The sequence below is a fragment of the Homo sapiens genome, chromosome 9, assembly GCF_000001405.40.
Source record: "Homo sapiens chromosome 9, GRCh38.p14 Primary Assembly".
NCBI lineage: Eukaryota > Metazoa > Chordata > Mammalia > Primates > Hominidae > Homo > Homo sapiens.
The window spans coordinates 91,464,471-91,483,776 of record NC_000009.12 but is presented as its reverse complement, the minus strand read 5'-3'; the positions used below and the strand labels follow the sequence as shown (position 1 = coordinate 91,483,776).

At 39.9% G+C, this 19,306-nt stretch overlaps 1 protein-coding gene across 1 annotated transcript in view; it reads left to right on the top strand.

The window, feature by feature from the left end:
* The first annotated feature begins 279 nt into the window (after positions 1-279).
* NFIL3 (nuclear factor, interleukin 3 regulated) overlaps positions 280-19,306 on the top strand; it is a 74,453-nt gene continuing 55,426 nt past the window's right edge. Inside the window, exon 1 of the mRNA XM_047423425.1 lies at positions 280-430. The gene's annotated coding sequence lies outside the window, so the exon portion shown is untranslated. The remainder of the gene's footprint in view (positions 431-19,306) is intronic.

The following is a 19,306-nucleotide window of genomic DNA, read 5'->3' as shown; positions in this document are numbered from 1 at the left end:
CTGAAGGAGCCGAAGAGCTGCTCATTCTTGCTCTTGCGGGGGGGTGGGGGGTGGGTTGGGGGGAATCTCATTTCAAGGTCAGAGACTGAAGGAGTTGCCTCTTTGGATCTGCACTAGAGTGCCAAATGCCCAGGCTTAGGAATTATTTTTAGTTGGGAACGTCACCCCAGAATGTTGTGATTCCAGAGATCGCCACCCAGGCAACCCTCATGCAGATGGCTGAGTAATGCAGCAGCCAGCACCAGGGCTCCAAGGAGGGGCAGGAAAGAGAGAGAAGCCAGTTCCTCGTGTCCTCATTTCAACTGACTGTGTGTTCCTGGTACCCTGACTTTTCCTGGTTCCTGCAACTCCAGACTCCTGCTGGGGACAGAAGAAATGTGGGTATTTCCCGGTCCTCTTGTCCTCTCCAGGCTTTCTGATTTTGAGCAGGGTGAGTACTATGCTAGTTTCCCAGATTCTATTTTCATCCTGCTGGTGCTGGATCCAACTCTGGACATTACAGCATATCCCAGCAAAGCTGTCACAGGCTGGCCAGGAAACATAGGACGGGAGGGACAGAAGGAGGGGGTGAGAAGGGAAGACTGCAGCTTCCTAGCTTCTCCACCCACAGCCAATGGAAAGGGCTCTGAAGGTGACTTATATGGCCTTTGGAACCCACCACCAGGGAGAGAACTCAACAGGTGCAGACTGTTGAGCAGACTGTTGAGGGAGATGATAAGGGAAGAGACCAGGAACTGGAAGTTGGGCAACAAGTCTTCTAGCCAGGGATGTTGTGGAAGCCCATGCTTCATAACCTTATGTGGATAGGCAGTCGATGGTCTTATCTGCATAGACCCATACTCTGCTGCTGACATGTGCGCCTTTCGGGTGATGACGCAGTCCTTTCTGCCCCATTACCTATATACATGTGCAGAAGTTCTTCACCATACTCTAGAGTCCAACTTATTTGTCTCTTTTTAAAACGTTCAGTTAGGAGGCTGGGCATGGTGGCTCACACCTGTAATCCCAGCACTTTGGAGGCTGAGATGGGCAGATCACCTGAGGTCACAGAGTTCAAGACTAGCCTGAACAACATGGCAAAATCTCGTCTGCACTAAAAATACAAAAATTAGTCGGGCGTGTTGGTGGGGGCGCCTGTAATCCCAGCTACTAGGGAGGCTGAGGCAAGAGAATCACTTGAACCCGGGAGGCAGAGATTATAGTGAGCCAAGATCGCACTACTGCACTCCAGCCTGGGCGACAAGAGCAAAACTCTGTCCCAAAAAAAAATTTTTTTTGGTTAGACAGTAATCTATACTCCTAGTAAAATCACCATCATCATCATCATCATCATCATCATCATCACCCAGCCCTGGCTTCTTTATATTAAACTACTGCCTCCCAAAGATAAAGGCCAGATGTACTCTTTGCCATAACTTTCACCACATTCATATAACCAGAGGCAAACACTGTTTTTGATAATATTTTATAAAACCATTTCCTGTTTTATAAAACTGGATTCATGCTGTGTACATTTCTGTGAAGATTGCCTTTCACACTTCTTGTAGTTTTTTGCCAGGCCAAAAAGTGTTGCAATAGACATCCTCAAGTACAGATACTTTTATTTTTATAGAGTAGATTCTGAGAAATGAGATTGTAGGGCCAAAGGGTATGCGCATTTTAACTTTTTAATGGATATTGCCGGATCACTTTCCAAAACAGTTGCGGTTATTCCTGTTCCCACGGGCAAAGTATGCAAGTGCCTTTTCCCCCAATCCTTTCCGGCACCAAGGTGTCATTTTTTCTCACTTTTAAGCAAATAGATTGCATGAAATTATCTTACTATTTCTTAAAATTTCATTTTTCTGGCAAATAGTCAAATTAATTATATTTTCATATGTTTATTGATCGTTAGTAATTATTTTCTTCAAAACTATCTATTAATATTTTATGACTATTTCGCACTGAGATTTTAAAATCTTTTTATTTTTCAAGCATTTTATTGTGTTATAGATGTTAACTCTTTATTTGTCACATATATTTCTCTGTTGATCATTTGTCCTTTGACTTTTTTTATGATAGTTTTTGCCATAATATTTTAAAATACAAATATCATTGGTATTTCTTGTGTTGTTTACAAAAAACGTTAACCGCAAAATCAAAAGCAAAGTAATTAGAAAAGAGTATGGTGATATATACAAGAAAGTATCAATTACAAGCACTGTTTATCATTAAAATAGAAATAACCCGAATATTGAAATATTAAGGGTGTAATTTAATTATAGTATTGTATACAATCACAGCCATCAAAAAGCAGATGACTATGATTGTATACAATACTAGAATTATAACTATTTACATGAAATGAGACTCAAAATACATATTTTGATGTGAAAAATAAGGTTACACGGCAATATGTATCTTATGACACCAACTATTTATATTTTTATAAGTGCATAGAAAATACTTGGGATATGAATAAAACCAACTACGTTTTATGCTAGTGAAATTACGTGTGTTTTCCCATTTTTTTATCTATGTGTATACATACTTTTTAAAAATTATCTCAAATTAATTCTGTAATGAAAGAATAAGGTCTATAAGGATTTACACACAAAATGTATTATCCCTTGGGAGTAGAATTGGGCTAAGAATCGTTGTTAGCTGAAGGAGTCTTTCAATGTTAACTCTACACACCTATGTGTTATTTAACTTTTAAAAACACGTTATTTCTGAAATATTTTAAACTAACCAAATAAAAAGGAAATGAAATGTGGATGTCAGGAAGTACTCCAATAACATGAAGTTGACATAGAATAAATCTTTTAAGGTCACCCTCTGCGCGCCCTTCCCTGCTCCGCTGTCAGCTGTCCCATCCTTTCCTGTGGGTAACTGTGGGTATTATTTACTCTGAGTCCTATCAGATCCTCTAAAGGTGCATTATGTATGGATATGCATATTTACAAATCTCTACCTTTTCAAGAAGGCTAATGTCACAGGACAATTAATTGAGAAGTAATTTTTTAGGAGCTCAAGCCATTTTGTTGCCTGCATTTTGACTTAATTTATGAGGTCTTCTTGGTCCATAGATTTCAATTTTTGTGTAGTCAGACCTCCTGAAATTTCCTTGCTGTATCTTTTATTGCTTCAAAACCCGTAGTCCATCGCCAAATTTTAAAATACAATCTATTCTCCTTTTTTTTAGTGTTTTCTAAGGTCTTTGTTGTTGTTGTTTTTTATATTTAGCTCCGTAATTCATCTAGAATATATTATTCTGCATGTTGTGAGGTAGGAATTTAACATTTTTTTCTAAATAGAGAATCAGTTGTTTCAATACCCTTAGTTGACCAGTTCAAACTTTCCCTGCACTTGAATGCTACTAGTAGAATATTCTATGTTTCATGTTTATGCTCTCTTGGGTTTCATTACTCTCTTTGATTCGTTCTGTAAGCTCACACACGGGTTTAACTACTATAATTTAGAGTATAACTTAATATCTGGTAGACCATGTTCTCCTTCTTGTGCTTCCTGAACTTTTTCCTGGCTATTCATTTACTGTTTAAAAAGAATGAAGAGGCAGTGAGCCAAGATCAAACCACTGCACTCCAGCCTGGGAGACAGAGAGAAACTCTGTCTCAAAAAAAAAAAAAAAATATTAGATTATGAGAACAAAATACAGGAGGTGGCTGGCAAGATGGCCAAATAGGAACAGCTCCAGTCTGCAGCTCCCAGCGAGATCAACACAGAGAGTGGGTGATTTCTGCATTTCCAACTGAGGTACTCGGCTCATCTCTTTGGGACTGGTTAGACAGTGGGTGCAGCTCACAGAGGGTGAGCCGAAGCAGGGTGGGACATCACCTCACCCGAGAAGTGCAAGGGGTCAGGGAACTCCCTCCCCTAACCAAGGGAAGCCGTGAGGGACTGTGCCATGAGGGACAGTGTACTCTGGCCCAGATACTACGCTTTTCCCATGGTCTTTGCAACCCGCAGACCAGGAGATTCCCTTGGGTGCCTACGCCACTAGGGCCCTGGGTTTCAAGCACAAAACTGGGTGGCCATTTGGGCAGACATTAAGCTAGCTGCAGGATTTTTTCTTTTCTTTTCATACCTCAGTGGTGCCTGGAACGCCAGCAAGACAGAACTGTTCACTCCCCTGGAAAGGGGGCTGAAGCCAGGGAGCCAAGGGGTCTTGCTCAGTGGATCCCACCCCCACAGAGCCCAGCAAGCTAAGATCCACTGGCTTGAAATTCTCGCTACCAGGACAGCAGTCTGAAGTTGATCTGGGATGCTCGAGCTTGGTGGCGGGAGGGGCATCTGCCATTACTGAGGCTTGAGTAGGCGGTTTTCTCCTCACAGTGTAAACAAAGTCACCAAGAAGTTCGGACTGGTTGGAGCCCACCGCAGCTCGGCAAAGCCTCTGTAGCAAGACTGCCTCTCTAGATTCCTCCTCTCTGGGCAGGGCATCTCTGAAAGAAAGGCAGCAGCCCCAATCAGGGGCTTACAGATAAAACTCCCATCTCCCTGGGACAGAGCACCTGGGGGAAAGGGTGGCTGTGGGCACAGCTTCAGCAGACTTAAACGTTCTTGCCTGCTGGCTCTGAAGAGAGTGGTGGATCCCCCAGCACAGTGCTCAAGCTCTGCTAAGGGACAGACTGCCTCCTCAAGTGGGCCCCTGACCCCTGTGCCTCCTAACTGGGAGACACGTCCCAGCAGGGGTTGACGGACACCTCATACAGGAGAGCTCCGGCTGGCATCTGGCAGATGCCCCTCTGGGACAAAGCTTCCAGAGGAAGGAACATGCAGCAATCTTTGTGTTCTGCAGCCTCTGCTGCTGATACCCAGGCAAACAGGGTCTGGAGTGGACCTCCAGCAAACTCCAGCAGACCTGCAGCAGAGGCTCCTGATTGTTAGAAGGAAAACTAACAAACAGAAAGGAATAGCATCAACATCAACAAAAAGGATGTCCAAACAGAAACCCCATCCGAAGGTCACCAACATCAAAGACCAAAGGTAGGTAAATCCATGAAGATCAGGAAAAAACAGTGCAAAAAGGCTGAAAATTCCAAAAAACAGAACATCTTTTCTCCTCCAAAGGATCACAACTCCTCGCCAGCAAGGGAACAAAACTGGACGGAAAGTGACTTTGACGAATTGACAGAAGTAGGCTTCAGAAGGTGGGTAATAACAAACTCCTCCGAGCTAAAGGAGCATGTTCTAACCCAATGCAAGGAAGCTAAGAACCTTGAAAAAAGGTTAGAGGAACTGCTAACTAGAATAACCGGCTTAGAGAAGAACATAAATGACCTGATAAACATAGCACGAGAACTTCATGAAGCATACACAAGTACCAATAGCCAAATCAATCAAGCAGAAGAAAGGATATCAGAGATTAAAGATCAACTTAATGAAATAAAGCGAGAAGACAAGATTAGAGAAAAAAGAGTGAAAAGGAATGAACAAAGCCTCCAAGAAATATGGGACTATGTGAAAAGGCCAAACCTGTGTCTGATTGGTGTACCTAAAAGTGACGGGGAGAATGGAACCAAGCTGGAAAACACTCTTCAGGATATTATCCAGGAGAACTTCCCCAACCTAGCAAGATAGGCCAACATTCAGATTCAGGAAATACAGAGAACACCACAAAGATACTCCTCGAGAAGAGCAACCCCAAGACACATAATCATCAGATTCACCAAGGTTGAAATGAAGGAAAAAATGTTAAGGGCAGCCAGAGAGAAAGGTTGTGTTACCCACAAAGGGAAGCCCATCAGACTAACAGCAAATCTCTCTGCAGAAACCCTACAAGCCAGAAGAGAGTGGGGGCCAATATTCAACATTCTTAAAGAAAAGAATTTTCAACCCAGAATTTCATATCCAGCCAAACCAAGCTTCATAAGCAAAGCAGAAATAAAATCCTTTACATTCAGCACATGTGTCCCAGAACTCAGAGTGTAATTAAAAAAAAAGAAAAAGAATAAAGAAAATAAAAAGGAGACCTAGGAATGTGCTCAATCTCCCCACTTTTGGGGTCTCTTTGTTGTGTTCATTCATAAGCATTTATAATTTTCTTTGTCTAGGTCTTGCACATTTTTATTAGTTTTATCTCTGGCTGTTTTTAGTTTCTGTTTCTTTACGTGCTTGAAATTTTTTCCCCAGTACTTTTTATAGTGAATTATTGGAAAGCGATTGATTTTTCCATTTTGATCTTGTATCTGGTTATCATGCTATCAGTTGCTTCTTTGGGATTTTCTTAGAAGTTGTGGTGAGTGGAATTCTAAGATGGGGCTTATGACCTGTCCCTGGCCTCCCTCTAGGTTACACTGCAGAAGGGATTTTGCAGAGATAATTAAGGTCGCCAATCAGTTGACCTTAAGACAGAGAGATTATCTGGGCTGACCTAACCTCATCACATGAGCCCTTTAAAAGCAGAGCATTTTCTGCAGCTGCAGAGAGAAGAGGAATTCAGAGATGTGAAGCACGAGGGGGTTCTATGTGAGGGACTCCCTGTCGCTGAGATGGAGAGTGACATGTGTCAAGGAAACAGGGAGCTCAGCTGGGCAACCCCAGGAACTGAACTGTGACCACAACACCCAAGAGCTTAGAAGTGGGTTTTCCCTGACTCTCCAGACAGGAATTCAGCCCAGCCAGCACCTTGATTTCAGGCTCTCGAGGCCACAATCAGGGAACCCAGTGCAGCCCGGCCAGACTCTGGACAACAGAACTGTGAGAAAACAAATGGGAATTGTCTTAAGGCACTAAGTTTCTGGTAATGTGTTATGCAGCAACAGAAAACAAACAGAAAAGTCAGATCATTTAACAGGAATTAGAGTTTTGCTCTTCCCTTTCTAATATTTACACCTCTAATATATTTTTATTATTCTGTTAGCGTCTAGAACCTCCAGAAAAAGGCAAACTTCGGCAGCAGTAGTGGAATTCTTGTTTGTTCCTGATTTTGATAGGAATGTTTAGTGTTCACCATTAGCTGCTTTACGTGCAATAGATTTCCTTTATCACAGTAAAAAGTTTCTTTTATCCTAATTTACAAAATGTGATATTCAGTAAGAAATGTTGAATTGTATTGAATGCCTTTTCAGCTACCATCACAGAGATTTTTTGTTTTTCTTCTTTAATTTGTGAATGTAGTGAATTGCGTTCATAGACTACCAAAGGTTGAAACACTTTGCATTTCCATAAATAGACAATTGGACATTGTTTTTTTTTTTTTTAGACGGATTCTTGCTCTGTCACCCAGGCTGGAGTGCAGTGGCGCAATCTTGGCTCACGGCAACCTCCGCCTCCCAGGTTCAAGCAAGTCTCCTGTCTCAGCCTCCAGAATAGCTGGGATTACAGGTGCGTGCCACCACACCCAGCTAATTTTTGTATTTTTTGTAGAGACGGGGTTTTGCCATGTTGGTCAGGCTGGTCTCAAACACCTGACCTCAGGTGATCCACCTGCCTCAGCCTCCCAAAGTGCTGGGATTACAGGCATGAGCCACTGTGCCCGGTCAGTCGTGATTCTTTTATACACAGCTAGATTTGGTTTTGCATCATTTTACATAGGATGTTTACATCTATGCACTGAATTGAGGTATGGGTTTCTTTGTGTGGTATCTGGTTTTTTAGTATCAGGAAAGTCCTAGTCTTGTAGAATGAGGTAGAAAGCCTTACATTATCTTCCATGCTCAAACATGGAAATTAACTGTGCTTTAAAGGTTAGTAGAATTTACTTGTGCAAGTCTCCTAGCCTCTTTCCTTATGGAGCAGTCATTCATTCATTCATTCACTTAGCCAATAACCACTGAGCACCAGGCATAGGTCTGGTGTCAGGGACCCCACAGTGAACAAGGCAGCTTCTTTCAAAGAGCTTACAATCAGTTAACTATCATTCACTACCTTTGATTTTGCTCCAGTTAGTATTTTTGCATTTGCAAGCTATTATCAAGTAAATGTCATTCACATATATTTTACTGGAAAATTCATTTAATCTATATTATCGTATTTATGGTTATAAGTAGTCCTTAATAATTTTTAAAACTTCCTCGTATCTTGAGTATATGGCCTTTCTCATTTCCAACATTGTTCATTTGTGAATTCTCTCACTGTTTCTTAACCCACCATGCCCTGGCATATCTGGTCTGTTGGTTTCAAATATATTCATTTTGCAATATTTTATTAATTTCTGATTTTTTGTATTAATCTTTTTTTAGCATCTTCTTGCTATTTTTATTTTGTAGTCTTTCTTTGTGTTCCAATAATTTCACTTAAGGTTAGAATTTTTCCTCTGAGTGACATTTTGGCCACATCTTGTAGGTTATAATATTAGGTACTTTTGTTAGAATTCTGTACCTTCAGCTAAAATTGACTGTCATGTTAGCCCAAGATGTATTTAGAGGAATTTAAAATGTTTCTATATGAATACCCATACATATATATTTATGTTTACATCTATCCATGTAGTTGGAAGTTTTGAATACATACATAAAACATATGCTGCACATATCTATACATAAGTATATTATAGGTCTAGAAGTCAGGGTCAAGGTCTGTACTGGAATGGATAATTTTGTGATCAATCTATGGATAGATTATAAGTGGAGTTATGAGTACATGAAATGGTTGGAACAAAGTAATGAGTGGGTAGAAAAGAAAGCCTTGAGAAATGATAACAATGAATGCTCAAGAAAATGAGATATGGGTTTGTCATGCCAATTGAGAATGCATTCAACTATCAGTCACAGAACCCCTGACTAACAGCAGCTTTAGCTTAGGGCTAGTAGGTCTCACAGGGCAAGAAGTCCACACAAACTTGCAGGGATGGTACAGTGGCTCCACAAGGCCATCCAGGTTCTTTCTTACTTTTTTGTTCTGCCATTTAATATATAGGCAGGACTTTGTCTACATGAGGGGCTGACTAATCTGGCCCACTGCCCATTTTGTAAATGAAGTTGTATTGGGAAACAGCCACACTGGTTTGTTTCCCTATTGCCCATGGCTGCTTTTGAATGACAAGGACAGATTAAAGTACTCAGGAAAGAGACCTTTTGGCTAGCAAAGCTCAAGTCGTTTATCTCATCTTTCTTCCACCTCACCTAACCCCTTCAGAGTGTTAGGATTCCCAGGATGAAAATCCACAATTTAGGTAGAATAAAAAACCATTTCCAGTCTAGCCCAGCACATAAGGCACTAAGAAGCCATCACTCCTGCCCTCACAAGAGAAAGACATAAATGGAAAATAAACAACTCTTATTAGATCATAGAATTGAGTTTACAGGCCAAACCATTGCCCCAAAATAGGAAGAGACAGAAAGGTGCATATAGAGAATCACCACATACTGGAACAGAAGCCAAGGAGCAGCAGCCTTCATGGGAACTAGTGCCAGGGTAGAAAAACCTAAATTATACACCAATATCTCTCGTTAGCCTAGATGAAAAAGCCTTCAATAAAATATTAGAAAATCAAATCAAATAATATATAAAAAGAATTACATACTATGAACAACTGGAATTCATTACAGGTGTGCAAGACAGGTCAATATTCAAAAATCAAGTAACATAATCCCTCATATCAACACATTAAAGAAGAAAAACCATAAGATCATATTAATAGGTACAAAAAGAGCAATTGACAAAATCCAACACCCATTCATGATGAAAACTCCTAGCAAACTAGGGACAAAGGGGACCTTTGTCAACTTGATTAAAAAAAAAAAACAAAAACCCTACAACTAACATGATACATAAGGGTGAGAAACTGGATGCTTTCCCTCTAAGGTCAGAAACAAGGCAAAGCTATCCCTCTCACCACTCCTATTCAACATTGTTCTGGAAGTACTCACTAATGCAATAAGATAAGAAAAGGAAATAAAAGTACAGATTGGAAGGGAAGAAATAGACTGTCTTTGTTCACAGATGACATGATTGTCTATTTAGAAAATCTCAGAGAATTGGAGATTGTTCCAAGATGGCCAAATAGGAACAGCTCTGGTCTGCAGCTCCCAGCGTAATCGATGCAGAAGACAGGTGATTTCTACATTTCTAACTGAGGTACCTGGTTCATCTCACTGGGACTGGTTGGACAGTAGGTGCAGCCCACGGAGGGTGAGCCAACACAGGGCAGGGCGTTGCCTTACCCAGGAAGCACAAGGAGTCAGGGGGAATTCCCTTTCCTAGCCAAGGGAAGCTGTGACAGACAGTACCTGGAAAACTGGGACACTCCCGCCCTAATAGTGTGCTTTTCCAACTGTCTTAGCAAATGGCACAACAGGAGATTACATCCCATGCCTGGCTCGGCGGGTCCCACGCCCACGGAGCCTTGCTCACTGCTAGTGCGGCAGTCTGAGATTGAACTGCCAGGTGGCAGCCTAGGCTGGGGGAGGGGCGTCTGCCATTGCTGAGGCTTGAGTAGGTAAACAAAGGCACTAGGAAGCTCAAAGTGGGTGGAGCCCACCACAGCTCAACGAGGACTGCCTGCCTTTGTAGACTTCACCTCTGGGGGCAGGGCATAGCTGAACAAAAGGCAGCAGAAACTTCTGCAGACTTAAATGGCTGTGTCTGACATCTCTGAAGAGATCAGTGTTCTCCCAGCACAGAGTTTGAGCTCTGAGAACAGACAGACTGCCTCCTCAAGTAGCCTGACCCCCGTGTAGCCTAACTGGGAGACGCCTGCCAGTAGGGGCTGACTGACACCTCATATAGCTGGGTGACTCTCTGAGATGCAGCTTCCATGGGAAGGATCAGGTGGCAATATTTACTGTTCTGCAGCCTCTGCTGGTGATACACAGGCAAACAGGGTCTGGAGTGGACCTCCAGCGAACTCCAACAGACCTGCAGCTGAGGGTCCTGACTGTTAGAAAGAAAACTAGCAAATAGAAAGGAATAGCATCAACATCAACATAAAGGACATTCACACCAAAATCCCATCTGTACGTCACCATCATCAAAGACCAAAGGTAGATAAAACCACAAAGCTGGGGAGAAACCAGAGCAGAAAAGCTGAAAATTCTAAAAACCAGAGCACCTCTTCTCCTCCAAAGGATCATAGCTCCTCATCAGCAATGGAACAAAGCTGGACGGAGAATGACTTTGATGAGCTGACAAAAGTAGGCTTCAGAAGGTCAGTAATAAACTTCTCTGAGCTAAAGGAGGATGTTTGAACCCATCACAAGGAAGCTAGAAACCTTGAAAAAAGATTAGACTAATGGCTAACTAGAATAAACAGCATAGAGAAGACCTTAAATGACCTGATGGAGCTGAAAACCATGGCATGAGAACTACGTGACACATGCACAAGCTTCAGTAGCTGATTCAATCAAGTGGAAGAAAGGGTAGCAGTGATAGCAGATCAAATGAATGAAATGAAGCGAGAAGAGAAGTTTAGAGAAAAAAGAGTAAAAAGAAATTAACAAAGCCTCCAAGAAATATGGGACTATGTGAAAAGACCAAATCTACATCTGATTGGTGTACCTGAAAGTGATGGGGAGAATGGAACCAAGTTGGAAAACACTCTGCAGGATATTATCCAGGAGAACTTCCCCAACCTAGCTAGGCAGGCCAACATTCAAATTCAAGAAATACAGAGAACACCACAAAGATACTCCTTGAGAAGAGCAACCCCAAGACACATAATCGTCAGATTCACCAAGGTTGAAATGAAGGAAAAAATGTTAAGGGCAGCCAGAGAGAAAGGTTGGGTTACCCACAAAGGGAAGCCCATCAGACTAACAGCTGATCTCTCGGCAGAAACCCTCCAAGTCAGAAGAGAGTGGGGGCCAATATTCAACATTCTTAAAGAAAAGAATTTTCAACCCAGAATTTCATATCCAGCCAAACTAAGCTTCATAAGTGAAGGAGAAATAAAATCTGTTACAGACAAGCAAATGCTGAGAGATTTTGTCACCACCAGGCCTGTCTTACAAGAGCTCCTGAAGGAAGCACTAAACATGGAAAGGAACAACTGGTACCAGCCACTGCAAAAACATGCCAAATTGTAAAGACCATTGATGCTAGGAAGAAACTGCATCAACTAATGCGCAAAATAACAAGCTAACATTGTAATGACAGGATCAAATTCACTCATAACAATATTAACCTTAAATGTAAATGGGTTAAATGCTCCAATTAAAAGACACAGACTTGGGGGGAGGGATAGCATTAGGAGATATACCTAATGCTAAATGACGAGTTAATGGGTGCAGCACACCAACATGGCACATGTATACATATGTAACAAACCTGCTCGTTGTGCACAGGTACCCTAAAACTTAAAGTATAATAATAATAAAATTTTAAAAAAAGTAAAAAAAAAAAAAAAAGACACAGACTGGCAAATTGGATAAAGAGTCAAGACCCATCAGTGTGCTGTATTCAGGAGACCCATCTCATGTGCAGAGACACACATAGGCTCAAAATAAAGGGATGGAGGAAGATACACCAAACAAATGGAAAACAAAAAAAAAAAGCAGGGGTTGCAATCCTAGTCTCTGATAAAACAGACTTTAAACCAACAAACATCAAAAGAAGGCCATTACATAATGGTAAAGGGATCAATTCAACGAGAAGAGCTAACTATCCTAAATATATATGCACCCAACACAGGAGCACCCAGATTCATAAGGCAAGTCCTTAGAGACCGACAAAGAGACTTAGACTTCCACACAATAATAATGGGAGACTTTAACACCCCACTGTCAGTATTAGACAGATCAACGAGACAGAAGGCTAACAAGGATATCCAGGACTTCAACTCAGCTCTGTACCAAGCAGACCTAACAGACATCTACATAACCCTCCACCCCAAATCAACAGTATATACATTCTTCTCAGCACCACATCACACTTACTCCAAAATTGACCACTTAGTTGGAAGTAAAGCACTCCTCAGCAAATGTAAAAGAACAGAAATCACAACAAACTTTCTCTCAGACCACAGTGCAATCAAACTAGAACTCAGGATTGAGAAACTCACTCAAAACCACACAACTACATGGAAACTGAACAACCTGCTCCTTAATGACTACTGGGTAAATAACGAAATGAAGACAGATATAAAGATGTTCTTTGAAACCAATGAGAACAAAGACACAACATACCAGAATTTCTGGGACACATTTAAAGCAGTGTGTAGAGGGAAATTTATAGCACTAAATGTCCACAAGAGAAAGCAGGAAAGATCTAAAATTGACACCCTAACATCACAATTAAAAAACTAGAGAAGCAAGGGCAAACAAATTCAAAAGCTAGCAGAAGGCAAGAAATAACTAAGATCAGAGCAGAACTGAAGAAGATAGAGACATAAAAAACCCTTCAAAAAATCAATGAATCCAGGAGCTGGTTTTTTTTAAAAGATCAACAAAATTGATACACCACTAGCAAGACTAATAGAGAAGAATCAAATAGACACAATAAAAAATGATAAAGGGGATATCACCACCTATCCCACAGAAATACAAACTACCATCAGAGAATACTATAAACACCTCTATGCAAATAAACTAGAAAATCTAGAAGAAATGGATAAATTCCTGGACACATACACCCTCCCAAGACTAAACCAGGAAGAAGTTGAATCCCTGAATAGACCAATAACAGGCTCTGAAATTGAGGCAATAATTAATAGCCTACCAACCAAAAAAAGTCCAGGACCAGAAGGATTCACAGCCAAATTCTGCCAGAGGTACAAAAAGGAGCTGGTACTATTCCTTCTGAAACTATTCCAATCAACAGAAAAAGAGGGAATCCTCCCTAACTCATTTTATGAGGCCAGCATCATCCTGATACCAAAGCCTGGCAGAGACACCACAAAAAAAGAGAATTTTACACCAATATCCCTGATGAACATCAATGTGAAAATCCTCAATAAAATACTGGCAAACCGAATCCAGCAGCACATCAAAAAGCTTATCCACCATGATCAAGTGGGCTTCATCCCTGGGATGCAAGGCTGGTTCAACATACGCAAATCAATAAATGTAATCCAGCATATAAACAGAACCAAAGACAAAAACCACATGATTATCTCAATAGATGCAGAAAAGGCCTTTGACTAAATTCAACAGCCCTTCATGCTAAAAACTCTCAATAAATTAGGTATTGATGGGATGTATCTCAAAATAATAAGAGCTATTTATGACAAACCCAAAGCCAATAGCATACTGAATGCGCAAAAACTGGAAGCATTCCCTTTGAAAACTGGCACAAGACAGGGATGCTCTCTCTCCCCACTCCTATTCAACATAGTGTTGGAAGTTCTGGCCAGGGCAATCAGGCAGGAGAAAGAAATAAAGGGTATTCAATTAGGAAAAGAGGAAGTCAAATTGTCCTTGTTTGCAGATGACATGATTGTATATTTAGAAAGCCCCATCGTCTCAGCCCAAAACCTCCTTAAGCTGATAAGCAACTTCAGCAAAGTCTCAGGATACAAAATCAATGTGCAAAAATCACAAGCATTCCTATACACCAATAACAGACAAACAGAGAGCCAAATCATGAGTGAACTCCCATTCACAATTGCTTCAAAGAGAATAAAATACCTAGGAATCCAACTTACAAGGGACATGAAGGACCTCTTCAAGAAGAACCACGAACCACTGCTCAATGAAATAAAAGAGGACACAAACAAATAGAACATTCCATGCTCACAGATAGGAAGACTCAATATCGTGAAAATGGCCATACTGCCCAAGGTAATTTATAGATTCAGTGCCATCCCCATCAAGCTACCAATGACTTTCTTCACAGACTTGGAAAAAACTACTTTAAAGTTCATATGGAACCAAAAAAGAGCCCACATTGCCAAGACAATCCTAAGCAAAAAGAACAAAGCTGGAGACATCACTGGCTGACTTCAAACTACACAAGGCTACAGTAACCAAAACAGCATGGTACTGGTACCAAAACAGAGATAAAGACCAATGGAACAGAACAGAGGCCTCAGAAACAACATCACACATCTACAACCATCTGATCTTTGGCAAATCTGACAAAAACAAGAAATGGGGAAAGGATTCCCTATTTAATAAATGGTGCTGGGAAAACTGGCTTGGTATATGTAGAAAGCTGAGACTGCATTCCTTCCTTACACCTTATACAAAAATTAATTCAAGATGGATTAAAGACTTAAATGTTAGACCCAAAACCATAAAAACCCTAGAAGAAAACCTAGGCAATACCATTCAGGACATAGGCATGGGCAAGGACTTCATGACTAAAACACCAAGAGCAATGGCAACAAAAGCCAAAATAGATAAATGGGATCTAATTAAAGTAAAGAGCTTCTACACAGCAAGAGAAACTACCATCAGAGTGAACAGGCAACCTACAGAATGGGAGAAAATTTTTGCAATCTACTCATCGGACAAAGGGCTAACATCCAGAATTGACAAAGAACTCAAACAAATTTACAAGAAAAAAACAAACAACCCCATCAAAAAGTGGGCGAAGGATGTGAACAGACATTTCTCAAAAGAAGACATTTATGCAGCCAAAAGACGCATGAAAAAATGCTCATCATCACTGGCCATCAGAGAAATGCAAATCAAAACCACAATGAGATACCATCTCACGCCAGTTAGAATGGCGATCATTAGAAAGTCAGGAAACAACAGGTGCTGGAGAGGATGTGGAGAAATAGGAACTCTTTTACACTGTTGGTGGGACTGTAAACTAGTTCAAGCATTGTGGAAGACAGTGTGGTGATTCCTCAAGGATCTAGAACTGGAAATACCATTTGACCCAGCCATCCCATTACTGGGTATATACCCAAAGGATTATAAATCATGCTGCTATAAAGACACATGCACACATATGTTTATTGCAGCACTATTCACAATAGCAAAGACTTGGAACCAACCCAAATGTCCATCAGTGATAGACTGGATTAAAAAAATGTGGCACATAAACACCATGGAATACTATGCAGCCATAAAAAAGGATGAGTTCATGTCTTTTATAGGGACATGGATGAAGCTGGAAACCATCATTCTCAGCAAACTATCGCAAGGACAGAAAACCAAACACCGCATGTTCTCACTCATAGGTGGGAATTGAACAATGAGAACACTTGGGCGCAAGGCGGGGAACATCACATACCAGGGCCTGTTGTGGGGTGGGGGTTGGGGGGAGGGATAGCATTAAGAGAAATACCTAATGTAGATGACGAGTTAATGGGTGCAGCACACCAACATGGCACATGTATACGTATGTAATAAACCTGCACGTTATGTACATGTACCCTAGAACTCAAAGTATAATAGTAATAATTAAAAAAAATCCCAGAGAATCAACACAAAACCCTGTTGTAACTAATAAGTGATTATAGCAAGGCTGCAGTATACATGGTTAATATACAAAAGTCAATTGCTTTCTTATATACCAACAATGAACAATTAGATTTTGACATCAAAAATGTGATATCATTTATATTAGCACCCCTCTAAAAGAAATGCTCTATTAGAGTATTCCAGAGAAACAAAACTGAAAAGATGTATGTTTGTGTATATATACACACATGCACACATACATCATATACACATGTATACATACACACATATGCTATATATACACACACATATGCATTTACACACACACATTTAAGTTGTATATACATATAATATGATATAATATAATATATAATATGTGTATAAAGACAGAGAGAGATATTTAGTTTAAGAACTTGGATCATGCAATTTGGGGTGCTGGCAAGTCCAGAATCTGCAGAATTGGCAGGCTGGAGACTAAGGTAACAGTTGTTGTTGAAGGTAGCTTGACTCTCAATGCAGTCTGCTTTGCAGAATTCCCTCTTCATTGGGGGAATCATTCTTTTTTCTTTTAAAGTCTTCAACTGACTTGTGGAAGGTATTCTACTGTACTCAAAGTCTGCTAATTTAAGTATGAATCTCGCCTAAAAAATGCCTTCAGAGAAATATCTAGGAGAGTATTTGACTAAATATCCGAGTATCATGGCCTGCCCAAGTTGACGCATAACATTAACCATCACAAGTCCACTCTTTGTCAACTTGACACCCGTATATACCTCTTTAAACCATGTTTATTCTCAGAATAAATACAATAACAATGTCATACTTCTGCCTAATGTGATAGAACTATCCTGCGTATGGCCAAAAGTGCATTAACCCTTTCCTCAAAAAGGATGCAACGTTCTTGGGTGATGTTTACTCTTTTCCTTGATGTCTTACAACTTAAGTATTATGAAATAAAATTAACAATGCTTAAATACTATGATACAGAGCCAATACTTTACATGTTATATGATAAGGGGATAAGAGAGGGAAGAAAACAAAGACATTATACAAACATACATATCCATAACAAAACAAACTCATGCTCATAACAATTGCAGTTCTCTTTTTACATAACAGGTCATACAGTCTTAGCTGCTTTTTATAACTACTTTCATCCACTACCATTCTGTATTTCTTGTGTTCTCAGGAAGCATCTCAGCTGGTCATGGTTTTTCACCTGGTAGAGTGACTCTAACCTTCATTCAGAAGGGTCTGTGTTGTTAGTACTCTGGCTGGAGTTGGGTTGTTGTCATTGTAAAGTCCATTGACTTTAATTGCAGGGCATGGTAATATTAAGAGATGTCCTAACATATCTCCTGTATTCCAAACACACTCTTCCTTACCTCTATTGTGGATTAGTGGTTCAATTTCCCTTTGGTAATCAGGATCAATCACACCAGCCAACACAAAGACACAGGCTAACTAAAAGACTGAGATCTAAACATGTGACTTTAGAATGCTTACACACACACACAGATCTACTGTACATCACACACACCCCACACATACACACACACACACACCACACCCTTTACTACCATGCCTACAGGGCTGTAGTATAATAACAGTGGGTTCCAGCTAAAAGAACCACAAGACTCAGACTCTCTCTAAAGAAAAGTACTTATGAAAGGTTAAAGTGAAGAGGAAAGATTAGAAAACAAGGACATTAGAAGAATTTTAATCCTCTGGCACCTATAGCACAGCAAACATTAAACAGCCCAACTCCTGAACAGATTAACATAAATTCTCACATAAATCCTAACATAAATGGCCTATTTACCTCAGTTCCTATTAACCAATATAGCACGTCAAGCATTCCACAAAAAATTTAAAGGCATGCTAAAAGGAAAAAAAAATGCACACACTACAAGGAGACAAAGCAAACGCTGGAATCTGACTCAGCTATGACACAAATGGTGAAATTGTCAGGCAAAGAATTTAAAAGACTATGATTAATATGTTAAGAGCTCTAATGGGAAAAATAGAGTAAAGGTAGACAAGATGCAAAAAAAAACATGGATAATACAAGCAGGGAGATGAAACTGGAATAAAGAATCTAAATAAATTTCTAGAAGTAAAAAACACTGTGGCAGAAATGAAGAATCCCTTTGAAGGGCTCACCAGTATACACAATACAACAAAGACAGAATCATTGAGGTTTAACACAGGTCAGTTAAAACTTCACAAACTGAAATGTGAAGAGAAGAAATATTTTTTTTAAAAAACAGAACTGAATCTCCAAGAACTTTGGGACAATATCAAAATGGGCAGTGTATACGTATTTGAAATATCAAAAGAGAAGAAAAGGTACAGAGAAGAAGAAATATTTGAAGTAATAATGGTTAAGAACTTTCCAAAAGTAATGACAGACACCAAACTATAGATGCAGAGCTCAGAGAACACCAAACATGATAAATACCAATAGAATAACATTTAGTAACATCCTATTGCAACTTAGAAAACCAAAGACAAATAGGAGTAATACCAATAAATACCAATATATCTAGGAATAGCCTATTGCAACTAAGAAAACCAAAACAAAAAGAAAATCATTAAAGAAGACAGAGGAAAAATACAGCTTAACGCTAAGAGAGCAAAGATAGAGATTAGTTTTTGGAAGAGAAGAATCTTCTCATCAGAATCCATGCAAGCCAGAATTGGAGTAGTAAATTACTCAAAGTGTCAAAAGAAAAAAAGTTCACACCAACCTAGACTTTTATATGCAGAAAAATTACCCTTCAAAGTTGAAACAGAGATAAAGACTCCCTAAGACAAACACAAACAGAAAATTTATCACCAGCAAATTGGCCCTGCCAAAAATTTTATAAGCTCTTCAGGCAGAAGGAAATAACATAGGTCAAAATCTTGGGTCTGCATAAAGAGTGGAGCTGCATCAGAGAGGGAATGAATGAAGGCAAAATAAAACATTTTATATTTATTATTCTTAATTGATACAAAAGATAACTGTTTAAAGTAACAATAATAACATTGTATGGGGCTATTATGGCATATGTATAAATGAAATGAAT